At 45.5% G+C, this 23237-nt stretch overlaps 1 pseudogene, 2 gene segments (V, D, J or C) and 1 further gene, besides 9 other annotated features; all 4 read right to left on the bottom strand.

Moving 5' to 3' along the window:
- Positions 1-23237, bottom strand: part of TRB (T cell receptor beta locus) — a 514277-nt gene that overhangs the window by 306508 nt on the left and 184532 nt on the right.
- Positions 6207-6215: a recombination feature (RSS_nonamer).
- Positions 6216-6238: a recombination feature (RSS_spacer).
- Positions 6239-6245: a recombination feature (RSS_heptamer).
- TRBV5-6 (T cell receptor beta variable 5-6) lies at positions 6246-6711 on the bottom strand. The segment is given in 2 exon segments: positions 6246-6539; positions 6663-6711. Coding segments are annotated over 2 exon segments (343 nt in total), but the record flags the coding sequence as incomplete, so codon positions are not given.
- Positions 14068-14076: a recombination feature (RSS_nonamer).
- Positions 14077-14099: a recombination feature (RSS_spacer).
- Positions 14100-14106: a recombination feature (RSS_heptamer).
- TRBV7-6 (T cell receptor beta variable 7-6) lies at positions 14107-14603 on the bottom strand. The segment is given in 2 exon segments: positions 14107-14404; positions 14555-14603. Coding segments are annotated over 2 exon segments (347 nt in total), but the record flags the coding sequence as incomplete, so codon positions are not given.
- Positions 18446-18454: a recombination feature (RSS_nonamer).
- Positions 18455-18477: a recombination feature (RSS_spacer).
- Positions 18478-18484: a recombination feature (RSS_heptamer).
- Positions 18485-18917, bottom strand: TRBV6-7 (T cell receptor beta variable 6-7 (non-functional); annotated as a pseudogene). The gene is given in 2 exon segments: positions 18485-18779; positions 18869-18917. Coding segments are annotated over 2 exon segments (344 nt in total), but the record flags the coding sequence as incomplete, so codon positions are not given.

Here is a 23237-nt window from a genome sequence, read left to right as displayed (position 1 = left end):
GGTCTCTTGCTTTCCATGCCTAGGGTGAGACCATATCAGGCAGAACCAGCTCATGCTGCTGACTGCCCTCTCTGTGTGGATGATGATGGCCACCCAGCGCTGCCCATGATCTGTGGGCACAAAGGTGGCCTGATGCATGAGGGACTTGGGGAGAAAGGGCAGACTTTAGGGTAAGGAAGAATGCTCTGTTTTTATTTGAGATGCCATCTTTCATAGGGAATATCCCTTTGTGCAGGGTTCCTGCCATTAATTTAGTAATAAATAAAATTTAGTAATAAAAAGGAGCTCTAATAACATATCTTGTGATTCATCCAGAGTTTTACAAGCTTTCCACTGGGGTTTCTCCTTGTCTATTTTCTGAGCTCATCATCTTCTCCTTGACCCAGCCAACACCCTCCTCCCAGGTCCCTGTGTCTACTGAACCAAGCAGCAGGGTTTGATTCCTTCTGGCTACCCTCATTTCCATGGCTGCTTAATTATGGGTGGAGTGGGTTTGGGATGGCACAGGACAAAACAAAGTAAAGGGCATTATTCTTCTTAGGGCTCTGATTCACACTGAGAACTACATGCTTCATGGTAGAGCCTCATGGTACTCATCGCGTGTGGATCAACACCCACCCCAACCTCACCTCTCACCTTGCCACCAAGTTAGAGACTCTTAGAGTAGAAAAGGCCTTAGAAATAATCTTGTTTCCATTTCCAGGCGTGCTTTGTAATGTGGACTTGTTATTAATATTTAACACAGCTATTTGTCCTTCATTTCCAAAGAAATTACTCCCTCAGCTGTGCATCTGCGCTGAGACCTAAAAAATCCATTAGGAGAAGGTGGAGGGTTGCATCACAGCTTCACAGCTTAGAATTTGATATTACATGTCCTTTGTCTTTGACATCCTGCGGCCACTCTGCCGTGTTCCCAACTGTTCCTCCCCACTGCCTGTGCTTCCTTCTCTGTTGATTCAAAGAAAATAAGATCCTCCTAATTTTAGAATGCAGGAACATTTACCAATTTCTGGCCCATGAGAGTCTCTCTTTGAACTCTGAGATATTTATTAAACAAACTCTGACTCCATTGGCCGTGCCATTTTTCGCTTCGCCACCAGTCTTCAAAAGATAAAGGAGATGTATAGATGTTTACTTAACCTTGAAAATAAATTATCCCACCTTCCAAATACTTACAAAGGAAAACTGACTAAAATCAGATGGATTCTAGTTAATATTGGTTTCCTCTACATTTCATGTTAGGAAGTGACCACTTAGTTGCTTCTCCTCCCTCCCTTATTTTAACAACAGCTCCTCACACAGCTCCCTGACCTAGTTTATCCACATCAGTGTCTCTGCTACATGTTGTGATGGGAATAATTTTGTCAAAGCTCAGATCTTCCAGTTCCAGGCCACTAATCACTTACCCACTCTAGTATCTCCCCACTGCCAACACCATGATGCTTGTACCTGCGGTGCTATAGGGTACACAGACTGTCTCAACCCTGGTGTCCGATCTGAAGACAACGCCAGATGGTTCTAGACTTCCCCTCCCTCAAACTCCAGTGACCCCTCTATCAATTCCACATGGAAGCAAGCCGACTGCCCTTCATCTGCCTCCACCATTTATTAGCTCTGAGACCATGGGCAAGGCTATTTATTGATTTCCTGGACTCTAGCCTCATCTAGACTCATCTATAAAACAAGACTAGCATTCCCCTCAATGCTTTATGAGGATGAACTGAGATACCATGTAGTCTCTGGTAGGTTTGATAAAGGTCTATCCTTTTATCCCTCCCTGTCTCCTCATGCAGGAGAAACCAAATGGAGCTCTCAGACCTGCCAGGACTATGAGTGATGGAAAAGCTGGAATCATCAACTGGGTGCTGGGGTGAGGAGAACCTGGAAGCGTAAAGATGCCATTTGGTCACTTTAGAAAAGATCTGGCAGAATTTAGGAAACAGACAATACAGCATGAATGTACCTGTCTACCCTCATTATGCAATATGAAGCAGATAATAGGAGCAAGTTAGATCTATATCAACCAATCTGGAACAATAAAGACCAAGATATACAGAAAAGAGTACACATTTGGCAGTTAAAGTGTACAGGTGAACCCATTTTCTGTAGGTGTACTTGGGTAGAAAGGTGTGCATGAACACAGAAAAGAGGGGTGAAAAGAAGCACACCAGAGCGTTAATATTGGTTACCAATGGAACATGGGATTGGATTCGAGAGCATTATTGACATTTTCATTATATATATTATTTAAATTGGTTATTAAAAAATCTTAACGACATGCAAGCTTTAAGTTTACACTTTTCATCAGGCATCAGAATTTGCAGTGTCTAAATGGGCAAAGTACAGAAAGCTTCTGTTTATGGAACCCCGTATAAAGGCTCATTTGTTTTTAATAAACCGAGGAGAAAGTGTGCTCCGTAAAAACACACGAGCTCCTGGTGAACACAGCCAGTCTCTGACTGCTGAGGAGGGTGAGCATCGAGGTCGATACATTTGATGGTGAGGTCAGCTTGGCTGATTATGAACTAATAAGGCTTCTACCTGTGAAAGCCTGATCACCACGGGGAAGTGGAGGATCTCACCCCTTGTTCTAGAACAGCCTTTGAATAGCCCCCGATTGGAAAAGGAAGAGAAATGAGCACCCTCTAGTGCCTGCATTTCCAAACTCAGTGAGAGCTCGTTTCCAGTTTTACATTGTTCAAGCTTTAGAAATGCTCTTTGTTTCTGATCCAAGTAGCAGTATTATTACAATGTCGATTGTAACGATATTCCAGCGTTTATCAACAGCACACTGCTTTCTCAAATACAGCTTTAGTGAGTGGGTGGAAGAAAATGCTGTCCCTAGGGAAGATGTTCTGACTTTGGTCTGTTTAAGGTTCAATTATTTAAAATAACTAGTCTATTTTTGGTCTTTATTGCCTAAAGAGATAAAACTGCATTTGTCTTCAAAGCATAGATGCAAATCATTCTGGCAAAATTGGGACTTCTGTCTATCCGTGGGCCATTCTTGGGGATTGTATATTTGATTATTTCCACCCAGAATGGCTCTCACAATTCTTCAGGGACTAACACATAGCCCTGCTCTGTAAATGGAGCCTCTGCCTCTCAATCAGCCTTTCCTAACTGGCAAAGGAGGGTAACAAGCAAAGGTCTCTGCTCAGCGCCCTGCACCAAAATCAGGTGTGGGCTGGAGGAAGCTGGTGACCATGAACTCTGTGTCTCTGACATTGCCCACCAATTCATGGAAATGGACACCCATAATATCGCTCAGTGTGTCAGGCACCATGACCTCAAAGCCACCCAAAGAGATATTTGTGCCTTGGGAAAACTCTCCATAAGAGCATGGGGAAGCCATTTGTTTTCTTCTCCATGACCTTTTAATGTCAGTGTTTGACATTATGTTTCTGATCACTCTCTCAGAGTGATTAGGTGCGCTGTGTCTGTGAGACTCCCAAATCCAGGACACCTGTGAGGGAAGGAGATTGAAGGAGGAGATTAGGCAGGAAGGCGATAGGGCAGATAGGAAATTCAGTCGTGCAGAAAGGCTTGGATCCAGTTACTTATCCATGACAGGGATTTCTCATCTGTTTCCAGGACTCATTTGATCCTAGGAGATGAAGGGATAGAGGTTCCGATTTAATGCGTCCAGACATCTAAGTGGGTACTCAGACGGCCTTTCAATATCTGCTCTTCATTTTTCAAGATTGGCCAGTTTCAAGATTGGAACTGCTGTTGGTCCTGACAATAAAATGGGGAACAAAACATCCACAATTTGTAAAATGATGCATGTTACAGTCTAGAATGCAAGAGTAGTGTCAATTAAATAGTCACACAAAGTCATGGAAAATGACTATGGTGCTAAATCTATGAATTTTAATACATATTATAAGCTGTGAGCATTTACAATAAGGAGGTGCAGCCTAGGAAAACTGTTGAAGGAGTGTCTCCCTAGAGATGGTTGTAGATAAACTGACAGTTGGAGCAAGAACAAAGAAGAAGAGACTTGTGTTGACACAGAGAATACAGCATGGAGTGGAAAGGCCTTTGGTGGGAGGAGCATGATGCATGAGGAATGTCCTGAACTGAGGCATCTGTGGTTGACGTGGAGGTGAAGGTGCAGAGGGAGAGGACAGCTGGGAGCAGACATCATGTGGAGGAGGCTGAGGACTGACATGAGCATGGTGTGGGGAAGATGGAGTTGTGAAGGCCGACGGGGAAAAGTTGTCAATGCTGTCTGCAAATATACAATTTCAAATGAACTTTCCTTTCTGAGAGCAAGTGAAGAAGAGGACTTCTGAGGCCAGAGCTGGAGGAGGGGCCTGGGAGAGAGGCGGCAACTGCTCACATCACTGTGATGTGCGTTCCCTCGTCCAGCTGAGACTGGCCTGGGAGAGAAGCTCAACACAGGGCAGAGTTTCCCATGCACAGGGATGCTCAGAAATCTGAGGGCCCCAGCCTGGGCAGTGTTGGGGAGACTCCTATGGGAAAACGTCTTCCACTGCCTAGAACATGGTCTCGTGAAGACAAGGCCACCTATATCTTCCACTGAACATTGTGTGCAGAGGAAGGTGGCTGTGGGGTGACTGCTGGTGCAAGAGGGCACAGAGGTCTGGGAGAGGCTGACACAAAGGCCACATATTTGGCTTTGAGAGAAAGTCACAGACCCTCAGGGATTTCTCTGTATTGCGGGCTGGGACAGATCAGCTGTACACCAGGTTCAGCTCCTATTAACACCTACACATGTAGTCATGGATGACAGTCTCAGGCATCTCCGTGCCACTTCATGTACTGCCTTTGTTCTCTGGTATCTTAAGGATTTGATTGTCCCAGCTTCTGTGAGGTTTATGACAGAAGGAAGATGAGTGCCCAAGGAGGGACCCCAATAATGGAGACCTGAGGTAAAGGCTTAAGCTGGGATGTGGTGAGCCAAGGAAAAGGCTTTAAAGATCTTACCTGCCCCAAGTAGGCAAAAGGCCACACCACTGAGGAGTCTGGTGGTCATGGTAGGGTCAGGGAAAAATGGGGAAATTGTGGGGAGGTTTTTCAGCTTGTGTGTTGGGGACATAAATCCTAGATGTCAGTAGAGTCAACTGATGATGCCACTGCCCCTGCCAGCCAGTGACTCTGCCCTCTGCCTGCAATTCTCCCTCTACCTGCTGCAACCTTCAACCTACAGTCAAGTCATAAACCTTCACCCATATGGTCTCTGCTCCTGGCTGTCTTTCTTCTACAAGACAATAGACTGACAAAGTTCATGCTCATTTGCCCTCCACCTACCTCTCCACCGTCAGCTCCAGGTGTCCACTTAGGGCTCTTTTTGACAAGCTATTGTTTCTTCACTGAATATATGTCCTTCCCTCCCATTCCTAGGTCTGTATCTTATTTCTTACATGAGATGTATTTCAGGTACATTTATTCTTAGTGGTGAAAATCCAAACTTAAATTTTAGTAGAATAAGTTGAGAAAAATATGCTTAGACATTTATATGAAAAAGTGGTTTTTGTCTACACACAAACAAAATTGTTTTTAGTTTTTGTTGCATTAAATTAAGCTCTTGTGCACCAAAAACTCCATAAAAATGAAAATATAAGCTGCAGACTGGGGAAAGACAAAGGGAATGCATATAAATGATTGTTAAAATGTGTGAAATTTAACATTCCTCAAAGGAGCTAATGAAAAGGACATAGTAATGACCCCTGAAGACATTTCAGCCTCTACTGCGGCCCTGCTGGTCACTAGACGGCAGTGTGAGGGCTCTGATTTACTGACCAGGATGCAGAAGATGATGATGGAGCAGGGGGGTAGGTGGAAAATGGATGGACTAGTTTGTTTCCTACTTCTGATCCTTACAAGCCAAGAGACATTGGGGAAAATGACTCAATGTCCCTGAGCCTTCTATCTGTAAAGGAAGAATAAGAATGTTTGATGTGCAAGATTGTTGAAAGGCATTAAGCTATGTAAGAAATGCAAATAATCAAGCACACATCTGGGGCTCAGCAGTCACTCTTGTACTGAGGTGACAAGCTGCAAGAAGATGCAGCACAGAAGTGGGCACACTCAGGACACAGGAAACTTGGGCTTTATTGGTTGGGAGAGCTCTGCCCTCAGTAGGACACAAGACATGCCTTCCAAACAACTAAAAGCTTCCCTTGAAGGAGTGAAATCTGGGTGGGGCCTGCAGCTCTCAAGGCAAAGCTAAGGCAGGAAGTTTATATACAGAACGTCAGTGACTCTGATGGGCTGTGCCAAGCTGCTGGCACAGAGATAGAGGGCCGAGTCCCCCAGCAACAAGGCGTTCACATTCAGCTCAGAGCTATAGTTAGGGAACTGGTGACCTGAGAATCGATCAGGGAAGTTGCCTCTCTGTCTCTCTTCCTCCTCATAATACTGAAAGATAAACTGGGGCCCCTGACCCAGGGCCTGTTGGTACCAGGACACAGTGTCATGCCCAGACTTAGGAGAGCATCTCAGAGTCACTTGCTGTCCTCTCGTTTTGATCAGGTGTGTGGGACTTTGGGTGACTCCAGCGTCCACTAAGCCTGTGGGAAAAGCAGATGGAGGATGAGCACAGGGACAGCCTGGAGGTCCTCCCCAAGGTAAAGTGGAGGACACAGGGGTGGGAAAGCTGAGAATGGGGCTGCTGTCCTGTGCCCAGGACTCACCTGCTCCCAGGAGACAAAGCAGTGCCCAGCAGAGGAGCCCGGGGCCCATGGCACAGAGGGACAGGAAGCACTGCATCTGATTCAGGGCTTGGTTCTCCTGGGGAAGAGCCGAGTGAGTTCTGGGCCTTGATTTTCCTGATGGGAGGGGTATCCTGTGATGTCACTGTCCTTTGTCCTCCCCATGCAGCCTTCCTTAGGTCTAGTGCTCCAGGACACTGGACTCTCTACCTGTCCTGCCTAGCTGGAGGGATGTGTGAAGGCAGAAGTTTCTGTGGTGATACAGTTCCTCCTCTGCCTACACTGCCCCAGCTCACAGGCTGCCCCATCACCCTATCACCGTTCTCCCACCTAGTGCTGTGGTGCTCCATGCTGGAGCTCACACACCTGCCCATCAGCGGAGGGTGAGGAGCCTGTGAGTAAACCTCAGTTTCCAGCTCTTCCTTGCTGTCCTCACGTCATCTTTCTGATGCTAGATTCACACCAATGTTTCTTATTATATTTTTCTATCCAAGACAACATTCCGAGCCCCTTTTCTCAGTGGCCACTGGTACAGTCCCCAAGATTTAGTCTGTCTGATCAGATCCAAAGCAGACCTGTGTTGTCTGTAAATTATTAAGAGTACAGATTCCCCAGAAATAATTCTTGGACTTTAACAGCTCACAGCACAGAGTTTGGCTTATGGGAGACAGGACAGCAGAGGGAGGTAGAGTCACCATCTGTGCTGGTTTGCAAAATCTATTCCCATGGCTCCCTTCTTGCTGGGTTAAATTTCCTGGTGGCTAAAAGTAGTCACACAGTAGCCTGAATGCTTTGCCTCTTAGATATTTCTTTCAGCAGATATACTAGCAAATGGCTCATAATTTTTATATTCCATAAAGTTCTAGAACAGGACACAATTTTGCCAAGGTTTTTGCTACTTACAACAAGGATGGCATTTACTTCGATTTTCAATACCTTGTTCCTCATTTCCCCCTGAGCCTTCACCAGAATTGCCCTTTATGCTCTGTTTTCAGGAATCTAGACTTTTGCTAGTCTGCTCCTCCCAATTCTTTCAGCCTCTATCCATTAGCCACTTCCCATTAACCAAAGCTGCTTCTACATTTTCAGGTATTATAGCAACAGCCTCACTCTCAGGTACCATATTTTCTTTCAATTTCTTTCCTACTGCTATAGAGAAATACCATGGAATGGGCAATTTATAAAGACAATAGTTTTATTTGGCTTATAGATCTGGAGACTGAGAAGTCCAAGATAGAAGGGCAATAACTGCTGAGGGCCTCCTGCTGTTATCCAAGGCAGAAGGAAGGGGAAGCAAGCACCGAAGTCAGAGAAAATGACTGAATTCATCCTTTTTATCAGAAGACCATTCCCAAGATAATTAATTCACTCCCACAATAAAGGGCATTGATCTGTTTCTGAGGGCAGATCCCTCATGACCCTAGTCATAGCTGTCCCACCTCCCAATACCATTACCTTGACAAGTTTCAACATGAGATTTTGTGAGGACATGCAAGCATAGCACACACATCTACACTATGAGTCAGTATTTCCACTCTTAAGTCTATTTCTTTAAAAAAAATGCATATGTCCACAGGAAGAATTCCACAAAAATGTTCACAACAAGTTTATTCATAATAGTTGAAGACAGGAGTAACATGGATATCCATCAACAGGAGCATGGATAAACAAGTTGTAGTATATTTATGCAATGGAATATTAGTCATAAGAATGACCTACTGATACAACGATATGAATATACTTCAGAAATACTAATTTTGGAGAAAAACAATTCAATAAAAATATGATTCCATTATATGAAGCTCAAGAATAGACAAAGCTACTCAACAGTGATACACATAGAAAAGTTTTTATCCCTGGGATAGAAATTGATTAGAAAGGAGCATGATGACACTTTCTTGAGTGACGGAAATTTTTTTTATAATCATTTCAGTTACTATTGCACTGGCGTATGCATTTGTCAAAATGTACCAGGATGTCCTTCTATTAATATTTGTGTTTTACTCTCTATTAATTATACCTTAATAAAAAGTATTACTAAAAATTAAACAGCTAAATTGCATAAAAGATGGGAGTCATTTACAAATGTATGCTTGTATTCTGCACAGCCCAATTTAAAAATGAATCACACAAAAAGAAGAAAAGACAGGAACACACATAGCTGTGTAAGATTTGGAGAATGTGAGAAGTGCTCAGTGACTGAAATAGACAACATTGAAATTTGGCCACAAAATAAGCTCAAGTGATGAGTGGGCTGAAAAACAAGTGAGGATCAATATCAAGGAAAGCTGTAGACAAACAAAAGCTCTCTAAAAATATCTTCATATGCTGTTGAAATCATTCTGAGAACCATGAGCTGCTATCCGTTTCATAACTTGGGAAATTGGGCATTCATCAGTCTCACAATTGAGACTTTCATTTCTTTTTGGCTTTCAACAGATTGGCCAATTGGTGAAGTGATTTTTTTGCCCAGCAAGCAGCCTGCTCCCCTCTTTGTGAGTGGGGTCCTGGGACACCCGGCCCTCCGCCTTTGGCAGCCTCACAGAGGGGAGTTGGGCACAGCGCAGACACACGGGGTTCCCTGCATGTGGGGTTTGCAATCCCTGTAAAGCCCAGCTGTGGATCTCCAGTCCTGCAGTTAATGGATCCCAACTAAAAAACCTTGCGTCTAGGTGTCTGCTCTACCTGTAAGTGCTAAAGAGGGATAGAGGCTGGAGAAAAATAAAATGTTTGCTCAATATTATTCTGTAACATTTTACAAGAAAATAAATTGAGGAGTCCATGCATTTTCATCCAAGCCAAGGTCATGAGGATAATAGCTGAATTTCTTCCTTAATCTACCCTGAGAAGACTCAAACACTGTTCTATGCCCACAAATACTTTAGTAGTGACTTATTTATAGTCTATTTTTGATAATTCTTCTAGTCAATTATATTCAGCTCTAACAGCACAGTTTGATGTGTCTACTAACATTTTCCTTCAGTAGTCTGTTTACTTAGGTGTTTTAGAACTTCTCAATATTTTTTGCCCTCCAGAGAACACATACTTGGTGTCCAATGGAATCTCAGCCAAGGTGATGTTATCAGTAAGACTTATGAACTTGCAGAATCCCAGATCACTCAAGCAGGTTAAAGCTGTTGCCTGGTCAGACAATTTCCAATGTTCCTCTGAGGCATTTGCTCCTCTGCACCCGCCCCTGATACGAAGGCAAAAATTCTTCAACTGTAGATGTCACTAAAGATTACAGGGACTTCCCGCCTCTTGCATAGCTGTAGGTAGCCTAGCAATAACTGAAAACTGCTGCAACATCTGCATAATATGGGATCCAAGCCCTAATTTTTCTTAACCCTTTCCCTCCTAGACTGCTCGCCCAGACTCCCCAGAGCCCAGTGGACCATAGTGCCATCTTGTGGCCAATAAGTGAAGTTTCATCATTATTTCTTCCGCTGGGAAGTGTCTGCTGAGTGAGCCGGCAGAATATTCCACAAGTGCCGTCCCGCAGGTGTTATGAGCAGCTTCCCTAAATCATCATACCAACACTAGTTCTAACCCTGACTATTGCTTTCAGTTACCAAAATCTTAATATCCCACCGTCATTCTGAAAAACTCTTAACAAATATCTCCAGTTATAGTTTAACTTTTTCTCCCTTAAACTACCATCTAAAGAAAGAGGAATAGAAGGAGAGGAATGAAAGAAAATAATATTTGGTTTTAAATAGTAAGAAAACACAGACGTTGAGGTATAAAGAGATTATTTAATGTGAATCACTAAAGATAAACAAACACATCCTCCTAAAATGACAATGTTACCCCAAAAGTATAGATCAGCAAAAGATGAAGTCAAATGTCTATTAATAAAAAGTAAAATTGAAATATATAAAATGAAACCTCTTACAAGGCAATAAGCAATGGTGGAGGGAGCAGTACCTAATGTAGAAACTAAGGATGGATATAGCTAAGACTAGCAAAGGGGCTGCTACAGGAAATGATCAGCTTGTACAATGCACATCCACTGATCTGAGCACCAAACACGGAAGAGATGATTCTGAAACAGGCAGAGGAGCAGCGGGAGATGAGGACATGCTGGTACAAAATAGCATCATAAGGAAGCAAATCAGCCAGGGGACTGTGGATTAGATAACTGTGCTTTCTCCTGTCTCCTGTGACAGCTGAACTGGACCATTTTCCTCTCCAAGGATTTGTTCCCGCACCCTGAGTTAGAGGACCCTGGGATTTGCTCCTCCTCAGCTTCCCATGGATGAAAATCCCTCTCCCTCCTTGTTGAGCATGGTCTGAAAGAGAGGTCATCTCTCCCTCCCCTTCAATCTCACAGTATTGGGGATTGGCACAGACTTCTCAATTGGCATCGGCCTCTCTCAGGGCATGCTCACATGCCCCCTAACTGTGACTTTTCATTTCCACTAGACTGAAAGTTAGATGTGGGCAATGAAACTTAACACCTTTATCATAGGATGCATAAGTAACTGCTTTCAAAATTATTGTTGTTTCTTTCACTGCCTTGGGTTATATCTGAACAGGAAAAAAAGGCACAATTTCTTAATGTGACTTAACCACAAAAACCTTCCCAAGTGCCAAGAACAATATAACTGTAAAGGGATTGCTGTCCTAATTGGTGAGATGGCCAAATAAAACAAAAACAAAGAAAATGTTATCAAATACTTTAATGGAGACCCAGAATCCCAGTCCCTCTTATACAAACATCATTGCATGGCCTCCCTCTAACTAAGAGACAGGCAGAGCCATTCCTGTGCCCTGCACCTGGCAGGAAAGCCCTGCTGGAGCCTGTTGGGAGCTGGTGAGGATGAGCCTTGGTGATTCTGTCCCAGAGCAGGGATTCTCAGGGAACTCTGGACAACTTCCAGGGACTGAGATGGAGAGTGGCCACACTCTGTCTTGGAGAGGAGAATACTGAGGGCATGATCCTTCTGACCTCTCAGCCTAAAGTAAAAGCAGAGTCATTCCTGACTGGTGGGGAGCTGCTTAGTCTCCAAAGCAAAATAGTCCTTGTTTCAGGGTCTGTCGGTGACATAGAAGAATAGCGGGGCTGTATGTGGTTCACAACCCAGAGTTGCTGCTTGGCCATCTCTGTTCCCAATGACTCCAGCATCTGAATATTCCATGCAAGGAAAGATAATTTGCAAATAATGAACTGGTTCAGTGATACCTTTAGTTACATTCAAAATAGTTGTCATGTTCCAGACTGGCATGCTTGTAGGAGACACAGAGCTACAGAGCAAGAGAATTTAGAGGTCGAATAGAAATAGGTACAATTGAGGCCCACTTAGATGATGGCTTCTCAGAGCAGGAGTAGAGGGGAGGTGAATTCTGAGCCCTTTTGGCCCCACAAGAAATGGCATAACAGGGACATCAGAAAATACCCCAGGGATATGCTGCTATACTGGGTGTCTGTGAAGGTGGGGGCATGGCTGGTAGCATTTCCCAATTTGTGGTGTACCAGCATACCCACCATGACAGACTTCAAGCAGCCAACATGGCTTCACTGAAAGGGGAGCTGGGAAGAGTAGTATGCCTATTTGGTTCTTCTGAGTCATTCAAGCTGGCTCCAGCACATCCCTAGACTCAAGAGCAAAGCTTTCAAAGTTCTTCAATGCTTCCTGCTCAACACACTAAAAATGAGGCCACAGCAACTATAGCACACCTCATTGTTTTCATGATAGGATCAGTGTGTGATCCTGAATCTTGGAATGGACAAAGGGATGTTTGTGCAGAGAAAGGATTTCTGAGTCCTCTGAAGCTGCCGAGATCACAGAGCAAAGAGTTATGCTGGTTGGTTGGGAGCTGCTAGCCTTTGACTTAGAGTAATTGCAATGAAATGTTTCTCCTGCTTTACTTAAGACAACAGAATGATTTCAATAAAGCAGAAACCCTATTCCTTCCTATTTGTTCATTAGAAACATCTGCCCCTTGCTCCTGTTGCATGTTCATTCTCAGTATAAATTGGAAGCCCTGCTCACTTTTGCTACAAGTTCTTGCAGCGCCATTTACAACAGTGGACTGTGTTCTGTTCAGCCTCAGTGTCACAGCTTGTCCACTGTTAGGACCAGGTGTCTCAGGAGTCACGGAGAGGAAAGTGGCAGCAGTTAGAGAGAAGGTCTCAGAAGACAGGGAATTCCCATCTGTGTGCTGGCCTTACTCAGTCCCAGGAGACACAGGGCACCTGAGCAAGAAGCGATTTGATGATGACACAAGAAAAAATGGGTCCAGAGCAACTCCACCTCAGTGACCATCATTCTCTGGGGAAAGAAATTTGGTGTCTGTACCACCACAATTTCTGATCAGTGAATTTGGAAGGACTATGATGCCCCTCCTAGCTATGAAAGACTCAGGGCACCTCTATCAGGGTTGCATCTGGGACACCGAGTCCCCACACTTGGAGAAATGGCCTGTCCCTGAGGACTCTCAGAAACCCATGATCCATGATCACATGATCTCTGACCAGTGCATTCACTTTCATGGATACAAACTGCAGCATCACCCACAGATAGGTGGAAGATTCTACTGCAATATAATCATTGTACTTCTATTTATAACAAGTACTATATAACAATATATAATGTGAAAATTAAAAAGGAATAGATTCAATATTATAAGTAAAACACCTCTTGAGTTCAAGGCCTCAGGAAACTTATTTCAAATCAAATGAGTTTGACAGCAATGAAAACACTCGAGAGTCTAATAATCAGATTTGCTGAGCGAATCAAGGTGAACCGGCAGCAGTGGTGAATGCATGCTTGTGTGTATCAGAACAGCAGCAATGGCAAATGGAAACAAAATGAAGGATACTCTTGGCTTAAAGTAGACAGAAGAAATGAAGTCTTATTGTTATCATGATTGCTTTTATCACGTAAGGACCACAAAAGTTGCACAGACCTTTACTTCAAACAGGAAGAGAGGTTTGATATTTTGTTGCAGAAACTTCCAAGGTGACAGGGATAGAAGAGGCTTCAGAAGAAAGATGTTACTGGGGATGTAGCCTCAGACCTTCCAGATGCCCCAACATATGAAAAAGAGGCATGTTTCCTGCCCATGACAACCTCATGTATGTGGGCAGCACAGCAGCCCCCAAGACCTATAGAAGATGCATGTCTGCCCTGAAGGCCAAGGCTAAGACACCCACTCCCTGTTTCGAGCAGTGAGCTGGCTCCGAGCCCTCCTAGAGGGCAGTGGGACGTGATTGTTTTCACCACCTACATTTGCAGTCACTGTGTTTCAGGAATGAATCTGTGGTCTCTTTCTACCCAAAGGACAGCCGATGTCCAAATCTACTTCTTTCCCATCAAAAGTGAGGAGCAAAGAGAGGCCTCTGTTAAGGGTCTCTAGGAGGTGCAAGGAGAGAGAAGGATGAGGTTTGTGAACAGGAAGGAGGCGACTATGCCACACTGTGGCTAAGCTGCTGGCACAGCGATACATGGCCGAGTCCCGCTGCTCTGTGCGCTGGATCGTCAGAGTGGAGATGGATCCCTCAGGCCTCTCTGCAGAGAACCGATCATTGGGCAGCCCTGATTTGTCTTGTTGGGCTTCATAATTGAAGTAAGTCAGAAACTCTGGGCCCTGCCCCAGGGCCTGTCGGTACCAATAAAGGGATACATGACCCGAAATTGGATCACACCTGAGAGCTACATCCTGTCCCCTCTTTGTGACTTTGTACCTGGGAGACTGGGAGACTCCAGCACCTGTGTGATCTGTGGAAATAGAATTTGGCAACAGAATAAGGAAAACATTTGTCGTCAGCACACACACACACACACACACACACACACACACACACACACACGCCCACACGCCTACACACAGAAAAAAAAATGAAACTACTTTGTGTTCTGAGGACTCACCTGTCCCTAGGAAACCCAGGACCACCCAGCATAGGAGACTGGTGCCCATGGCAGGGTCAGGACAGGATGAGGGCTTTACCAGATCAGTGTCACTGTGAGCAGCAGCAGAGGATGAGGGATGTCCTTGTCTCCACAGGGCAGTTCCCACAGTGACATCACTTCCTCTCTCAATCCCCAGGACCTCAGGATCACAGCATTTCTATTAGAACACAGTTGGGTGCTGCTTTAAATATTTATCAGCTCCTTTTTAACAACATCAATGCATGGCTCATCGCCTTGGGCTCCAGAGCTGTCTGGACCCGGAGGTCTCATGCTGTATCTCTGAGTTTATCTTGTCATCCCACAGCCGCTTCTTGCTCCTTTGTCTGCTGGACATTTACTCTAGGATGCACCAACACCGCCCCTAACATAGGGCACAAAGTGGTGAGCTCATTGCATTTCCTGCAAGTCAGGGTCCCCAGTGCCATCCCCATTCATGCTCCAGCCTCCTCCATTCCCCCAGTCACACGTGCCCAATGACTGTCCTATCACATGGATTCCCTCAAGAACTGCCCTCGTGCCTTTCTTCTGGGATCATTTCCCACCTTTGTTAACTGTAACTCAGAAAAGATGCCAATAGAAAACCATCTCAGGCATAGAGTGACTTATTAACGCTCATCTATTCCATGCCCTGGACTGGATAGCTGGGATCTTCCATATGAAAAACACCAGGACCTAAAGTTCTTGCATCAAAGATTTGTTTTACCGTTGTCTAATTTAAGACACTGATGGAAGAGAAGTACTCAGTTTACTGTTTAGGTCCAACTTATACAAAGTAAAATGAATATTCTTTACTCTGAAATCATATGTTCTCCTCTGAGTAAATTAAAAGGTCACATAAATCATGAATTAAACCTACTGGGCTAGACTGGGCCAAGAGAAGACAGCTTTTTTCTGGAAAGGCGAAGTTTCCAGGGTTAGTCAATGTGGTGCAGGAAGAAGGCTGGCATGTGAAGAATTTTCCCTTGTTAGAAGATGCTGGGATGTGTGATATCCTGGGTACTCAGCTGATCTGGGGAGAAGGGTGGTCAGGCGTGTAATAGGAGGGATGAAATTTTGTCAGCAGGATTGTCCTAGGAAATTGCCCTTCAACCATCTGAGACATGTTTTGGGCTCTTTGGCCCTCTCTGCTCTGTCTTGTTTTGGGGCCAGGTCTCTACATGGAGAGAAGGCATCTCTAGCACACAGTATTCTTGCCATCTTCACAGAAATGCCGGCAATTTCTGCAGATCTTAGGATTTCACTTTGGGTTGGCCATCAAATCATTGAGCTGATCAGCTACAAATTCATGAAGCACATTTCTGATACTGCAGAGTCCAAAGGGAGACCAGAGAAGTTGCTTTGGGTATAACCGAACTAGGTCCAGGAAGACAGCAAGAGGTGAGCTTCCCTCCCACTGTCTCCACAGGTCGCTGCACTCTGACCAGGGTTCTGATGTCCATGCAACTCCAGCAGGACGGAAGCTCAGGAAGGAGACAGAAGCAGGAGGCAGAGCCCTGCCTCTGGGTGGAGTGAGAGTTCAGGCACACGATTAAAGAAAACTTAGTCACCAGTGTCTGGAACATCTACATACAAATTGTGTCCACATTCACCTGGGCGGCACAGGTGTCCCCTGGAGAGGAGTCCACAGACCATGGCAGGTCGAGACAGTTGTGTGATCTGATGCCTTAATCTGGGAGAATCCATCCTGTGCTGGATTGTGTTAAGTCAACTTTGCAAAGGTAGGAGTCTGCCTTCCCAGAGTGACGTTTCTGTTATCATTCTGGGTTAGAGATGGTCAAGGATACATTTGTGTAAAATTTGGAAGATAGATGTAAAACAGTCACTATTACACATAGCAGATAACTGTGGTCAGACAGTGAGAGTCAGTGGCCAGCAGATACAGAGGCATCCAATAGACCTTGGAAGTCCTGTTCCTTCTGCACCCTGTGTACAGTTCATCTTCCCAAAAGCAGCCAGGCTGCCCCCAGTGTTTGGCAGTGCACGTACATGGGTGGCCCCCACACAGAGGGAACAGCTTCCCCAGACACAGATTTCCTTGGCCTTTTCCTGTGCTCCCAGGTCAAGGTCCCACTGCATGGCCTGGCATGCTCTGATCCTGTCATGTCCCTGCCACTCCAGCCTGTCCTGCCAGAGCTCCAGGAGCCCTGGCTACTGACTGGCTCCCTCACTTTCTGACTTCTCTCCTCCAGACCTTCTCTTTCTCAGCTCCTCCTACATATGCATAAGGTCTAATTCTGATCATAAATCGGTTACACTGTCAAATTTGTAGTGGCTCTGTTTTATTGATGCAAACCTAATGGAGATTTTCTTACTAGAGGTGGTTTCAAGGAACAACCTTTATGGATGGAATTCTAGAAGTGGATCCCTGATCTGTCTGGATTTGTTGTGGGGAAAGACCCTGAAGGAGAGCACAGAGACCTGGAGGAGTTCAGGTGTTGTAGCCACAAGAGGAAGCCTTGAGCCAGGTGTGGCCGCCATGGTAGTGATTCCCCATCAATTTCCAAGACCAACCTGAGCCCAAAAATCAAAGGGGTGGGCTTTCTTGTACTTAATGCTAGATCTCTGCCAAGTTACAGTAGGTGTAGCATGTTCCTACTATTGGTTCGTCCACCCACTCATCACTCACTCAGCCTGTCATTCACTCATCCATTCTCTGTGAAATGGGTCTCCCCACATGCCAGGCACCGATGTTGGTAAATGCAGCAGGCACAGCCTTAGCTCTCATGGGCTTAAAAATTCGGTGGAGAGTCTGGGCATAGTGGCTCATGCCTGTAATCCCAGCACTTTGGGAGGCCTTGGCAGGTGGATCATGAGGTCAGGAGATCGGGACCATCCTGACCAACATGGTGAGTCCCTGTCTGTACTAAAAATACCAAAAAGAATTAGCTGGGTGTGGTGGTGTGTGCCTGTAATCCCAGCTACTTGGGAGGCTGAGGCAGGAGAATCGCTTGAACCAGAGAGTCGGAGAGTCGGAGGTTGCAGTGAGCCGAGGTAGTGCCACTGTATTCCAGCCTGGTGACAGAGCGAGACTCTGTCTCAAAAAAAAAAGGAAAAATAGGGAAAAAAAATGGGTGGAGTACAAAAATTATCAGACAAGTACCTGAGAAAGCCCAACTGTGCTAAAGGTTACCAACAGACACATGATTCTATGAGAGCTTTTGAGTGGAAAGTTGATCTCAGCTGGGAGGCGGGGGAGTGCTTCCTGCAGGAGGGGCAGATTATGCTGAGATCTGAAGCACAGGTAGGCGCTGGCCAGTAGAAAAGGTAGCCTCTAGCCTAGGGCAGAGGGAATGGCCTTTGAAATCTCTTTGATGGGAAGGAAGGAGGCACAGAAGAGAGGCTCCCCTTATAGCTGCAGTAGAAAGGGGCGGGGAAGTGAGGGGAGGAGAGACCCAGCAAGGCCTTGGAGGGTGACTGCCCAGATGGGAAAGGTGGGCCACAGGAGAGACTACGTGAGGGTGGGGGCTGGGAAAACCCTAGAGAGAGGAAGCAACATGGTCACCAGGAAGAGACAGGAGTCTAGATGGATCTGAAATACAAATCCTCTTCCACCCTGGGGGCCTCGGACTCAGGATGATGAGTAGAAAAGTAGGAGCTGGGGAAGCCCTGGCCACAACCCGAAAGGAGACCTCGGAGGACAGACCAGAGAGAGCAACAAGGGAGACATCTGAGGACCTGGGACCAGTCCAGGCCTGGCTGAGATGCCTGCAGAGGCACGTGGCACAGAGCGAGGCTCATACTGTCCGGGCCACTTGGGGCCACTCTGGGTTCCAAGGTTCCTGGTGCAGAGATCTCTGCACAGGGCATCCTTGAGTCTTGGGTGGGGGAGGAGGGCAGCACCTTCCCTTGCCTTTATGTGCAGAGAGGAGACAGCCTTGCAGCGCTGTGGAGTAACTGCTGGCACAGAAGTAAACAGAAGTCTGAGAGGGAGCAGCTGACTCCAGCTTGAGGGGGAAATCCTCTGTGTTTGATCTGGAGACATTGTAGCCATTGGGAACTTCTCCTTTGTCAGTGAGAGCAGCAGCAACTGAGTAGTAAATCAGCCTCAGCCCCTTGCCTGGGTCTTGTCGATACCGATACATGTATTCATGGTTCATATCCTGGGCACACAGCAGAGTCATGCTCTGTCCTGTCTTCAGGACGTGGAATTTTGGGGTCTGAGTGACACCAGCATTCATTGGACCTGCAGGGAAGGACAAAGCTGATGCTACAGCTCCAGTGGAAAGGGGCTGGGCCTTGATATCCACACAAGGGGCCCTGCCCAGGACCCACCTGCCCACAGGAGAGAAAAGGCCACACAGCACAGGAGCCCGAGGCTCATGGCAGGGGCTGCAGGACGGAGGGGTCTTCTGGGTCTGTGCATTGATGAAAGGGGAACTGGACTCTCAAGGGAGTCATTCTGAGACATCATTCTCCCTGCCTGGCCCCCAGAGCCTTCCTGTCAGGAGAGGCCACGCCCATTCCCCAGATGGTCAAATTCAAGATAAATGCACCAGTGAACAGCTGAGAATGAGAAGAACACATTTGTCTGAATTGAAACAAGTCTACAAGATTTTCATGACCTTTTGGAAACAGTTTGTAATTCACTGTAAATTTTATTACTTCGATAATATAATAATATTCTGGTGTTAGTTGTCTACACAGTGCTGTAGTCTAGAGTCTTAGGGACACTCCTCATGTCTTCCTGGTGTTTTTGACTCCTGTGTCCCAAATATTCTTTCAAGTATCTTTTTCTAATTTGCTTAATTGACCATAATCCTGTTTAAAATCCTTTGTCTATATTGGTTTTCTCTGTTATCAGGTTTCCAAAACCCAGGGGCAGGCTCATCAACATTGGAGGAGTCGTTTTGCTCTGTTTCTTGTCAATCCACTGACAGATGAGACTCCTGATAAACCCAGCTGAGCACCTTCAGCTCCACCCAGGGCTCTTGCTTTCCATGTCTGGGGTGAGACCGCAGCAGGCAGAACCACCTCACTTTGCTGACTGTCCTCTAGGTGTGGATGAAGGTGACCACACTGCGTTGCCCATGACTTATGGGCACAAAGGTGGCCTGATGCGTAAGAGACTCAGGGAGAGAGGGCAGGATTTAGGGTAAGGAAGAATCCTCTGTTTGTACTTTAGATGTCATGTTTCATAAGGAATATCCCTTTATATGGGATTCCTGCCATTAATTTAGTAATAAATAAAAAGGAGCTCAAATAATATATCTTGTGATTCCTCCAGGATTTTACAAGCTTTCCCCTGGGGTTTCTCCTTGTCTATTTTCTGAGCTCATCATCTTCTCCTAGACCCAGCCAACACCCTGCCCCCAGGTCCCTCTGTCTACTGAACCAAGCAGCAGGGTTTGATTCCTTCTGGCTCCCTTCATTTCCATGGCTGCTTAATTATGGGTGGGATGGGTTTAGGATGGCAGAGGGCAAAGCAATGTAAAGGGCATTATTCTTCTTAGGGCTCTGATTCACACTGAGGACTATATGCTTCATGGTAGAGCCTCATGGTACTCATTGCGTGTGGATGAACATCCCCCCATCCTCACCTCTCAGCTTGCTACTAAGTTACTCTTAGAGTAGAAAAGGCCTTAGAAATAATCTTGTTTCCATTTCCAGTTGTGCTTTGTAAGGTGGACTTATTATTACACAGCTATTTGTCCTTCATTTCCAAAGAAGTTACTCCCTCAGGTGTGCATCTGTGCTGAGACCTGAAAAACATTAGGAGAAGGAGGAGGGTTGCATCACAACTTCACAGCTTAGAATTTGGTATTACATGTCCTTTGTCTTCCACATTCTGTGGCCACTCTGCCGAGTTCCCTACTGTCCCTCCCCACTGCCTGTGCTTCCTTCTCTGTTGATTCAAAGAAAATAAGATCCTCCTAATTTTAGAATGCAGGAACATTTACCAATTTCTGGCCCATGAGAGTCTCCATTTGAACTCTGAGTTATTTATTAAACAAACTGTGACTCCATTGGCCGTACCATTTTTGCCTTCACCACCAGACTTCATAAGGTAAAGAAGCCGTATAGATGTTTACTTAATGTCAAAAATAAATTGTCCCACCTTGCAACTACTTACAAAGCAAAACTGACTAAAATCAGATGAGATTCTAGTTAACATTGTTTTCCTCTCCATTTCATGTAGAGGAAGTGACCCTTAGTTGCTTCTCCTCCCTCCCTCATTTTAAGAACAGCTCGTCACACAGTTCTCTGGCCTAGATTATCCACATCAGTGTCTCTGCTACGTCTTGTGATGGGAAAAATTTTTTCAAAGTTCAGATCTTCTGGTTCCTGGCCACTAACCACATACCCACTCTAGTACCTCCCCACTGCCAACACCATGATACTTTTACCTTCAGTGCTGTAGGGTACACAGACTCTACTGCCCCCTGGCGTCTGATCCGAAGACAACGCCAGATGGTTCTAGACTTCACCTCCCTCAAACTCCAGTGACCCCTCTATCAGTTCTACACAGAGGCAAGCCAACTGTCCTCCATCTGGCTCCACCATTTATTAGCTCTGAGACCATGGGCAATGCCATTCATTAACCTTCCTGGACTCTAGCCACATCTAGACTCGTCTATAAAACAAGACGCACATTCCTCTCCATGCTTTATGAGGATGAACTGAGATACTGTGTAGGCTCTGGTAGGTTCGATAAACATCTATCCTTTTATCTCTCCCTGTCTCCTCATGCAGGAGAAACTGATAAAGCTCTCACACCTGCTAGGATTATGAGTGATGGAAAAGCTGCATTCATCAACTGGGTGCTGGGGTGAGGAGAACTTGGAAGCATAAAGAGGTCATTCAGTCACTTTAGAAAAGATTTGGCAGAATTTAGGACTCAGACAATAGAGCATGAATGTACCTGTCTACCCTCATTATGCAATATGAAGCAGCTAATAGGAGCAAGTTAGATCTATATCGACCAATCTGGAACAATAAGACCAGGGTATATTAACAGAAAAGAGTATGCATGTGGCCAGTAAAGTGTACAGGTGAACCCAATTTCTGTAGGTGTACTTGGGTAGAAAGGTGTGCATGAACACAGAAAAGAGGGGTGAAAAGAAGCACACCACAGTGTTTGTATTTGTTACAAATGGAAGATGGGATTGGACATACGTAGACCTGTGTTGTCAATGCTGTCTGCAAATATACAATTTCAAATGAACTTTCCTTCCTGAGAGCAATTGAGAAAGAGGACTTCTGAGGCCAGAGCTGCAGGAGGGGCCTGGAAGAGAGGCTGCATCTACTCACATCATGGTGATGTGCGTTCCTTTGTCCAGCTGAGACTGGCCTGGCAGAGAAGCTCAACACAAGGCAGAGTTTCATATGCACAGAGCTGCTCCGAGCTCTGAAGGCCCCAGCCTGGGCAGTGTTGGGGAGACTCCTATGGGACAATGTTTTCCACTGCCCAGATCACGATCTCGTAAAGACAAGGCCACCTATATCTTCCACTGAACTTTGTGTGCAGAGGAAGGTGGCTGTGGGGTAAAGCCTGGTGCAAGAGGGCACAGAGGTCTGGGAGAGACTGTCTGACACCAAGGCCACATATTTGGCTTTGAGAGGAAGTCAAAGACATTCAGGGATTTCTCTGTAGTGTGGGCTGGGACAGATCAGCTGTGCACCAGCTTCGGCTCCTATTAACATCTGCACCTGTATTCATGGATGGCAGTCTCAGGCATCTCCATGTCACTTCGCGTCCTGCCTTTGTTCTCTGGTATCTTGGGATCAGGTTGTTCCAGCATCTGTGAAGTCTATGATAGAAGGAAGTTGAGTGACCAAGGAGGGACCCCAATAATGCAGACCTGATGTAAAGGCTTAGGCTAGGATGTGGTGAGCCAAGGAAAAGTCTTTAAAGATCTCACCTGCCCCCAGGAGGCAAAAGGCCACACCACTGAGGAGTCTGGTGGCCAGAGCAGGGCCAGGGAAAAATGTGCAGATTGTTGGGAGTTTTTTCACTTTGTGTGTTGGGGACATAATTCCTGGATGTCAGTAGAGTCACTGGTGATGCCACTGCCCCTGCCAGCCAGTGACTCTGCCCTCTGCCTGCAATTCCGCCCTCTACCTGCTGCAACCTTCAACCTAGAGTCAAGTCATAAACCTTCACCCATGTGGTCTCTGCTCCTGGCTGTCCCTCTTCTAACAACAACAGCTTGATAAAGTTCGTGATCATTTACCCTCCAGCTACCTCTCCACCGTCAGCGCAGGGTGTCCATTTTGGGATCTTTTTGACAGGCTGTTGCTTCTTCACTGAACATATGTGCTTCCCTCCCATTCCTAGGTCTCTATGTTATTTCTGACGTGAGATATATTTCAGGTACATTTCTTCTTAATGGAGAAAAGCCAAACTTAAATTTTACTAGAATAAATTAAGAAAAATATGTTTAGACATTTATATGAGAAAGAAGTTTTTGTCTACACACAAACAAAATTGTTTTTCATTTTTGTGGCATTAAATTAAACTCTTGTACATCAAAAAACACCATAAAAATGAAAATGTAAGCTACAGACATGGGAAAGATAAAGGGAATGCATATAAATGATTTTTTAAAAAGTGTGAAATTTAACATTCCTCAAAATTGCTAATTAGGAGGCCATAGTAATAACCCCCTGAAGACATCTGAGCCTCTGCTGCGGCCCTGCTGGT

The sequence above is a fragment of the Homo sapiens genome, chromosome 7 (genome assembly GCF_000001405.40).
Source record: "Homo sapiens chromosome 7, GRCh38.p14 Primary Assembly".
NCBI classification, from domain to species: domain Eukaryota; kingdom Metazoa; phylum Chordata; class Mammalia; order Primates; family Hominidae; genus Homo; species Homo sapiens.
The sequence above is the reverse complement of the archived record's forward strand: the minus strand, read 5'-3'. Positions and strand labels throughout refer to the sequence as shown.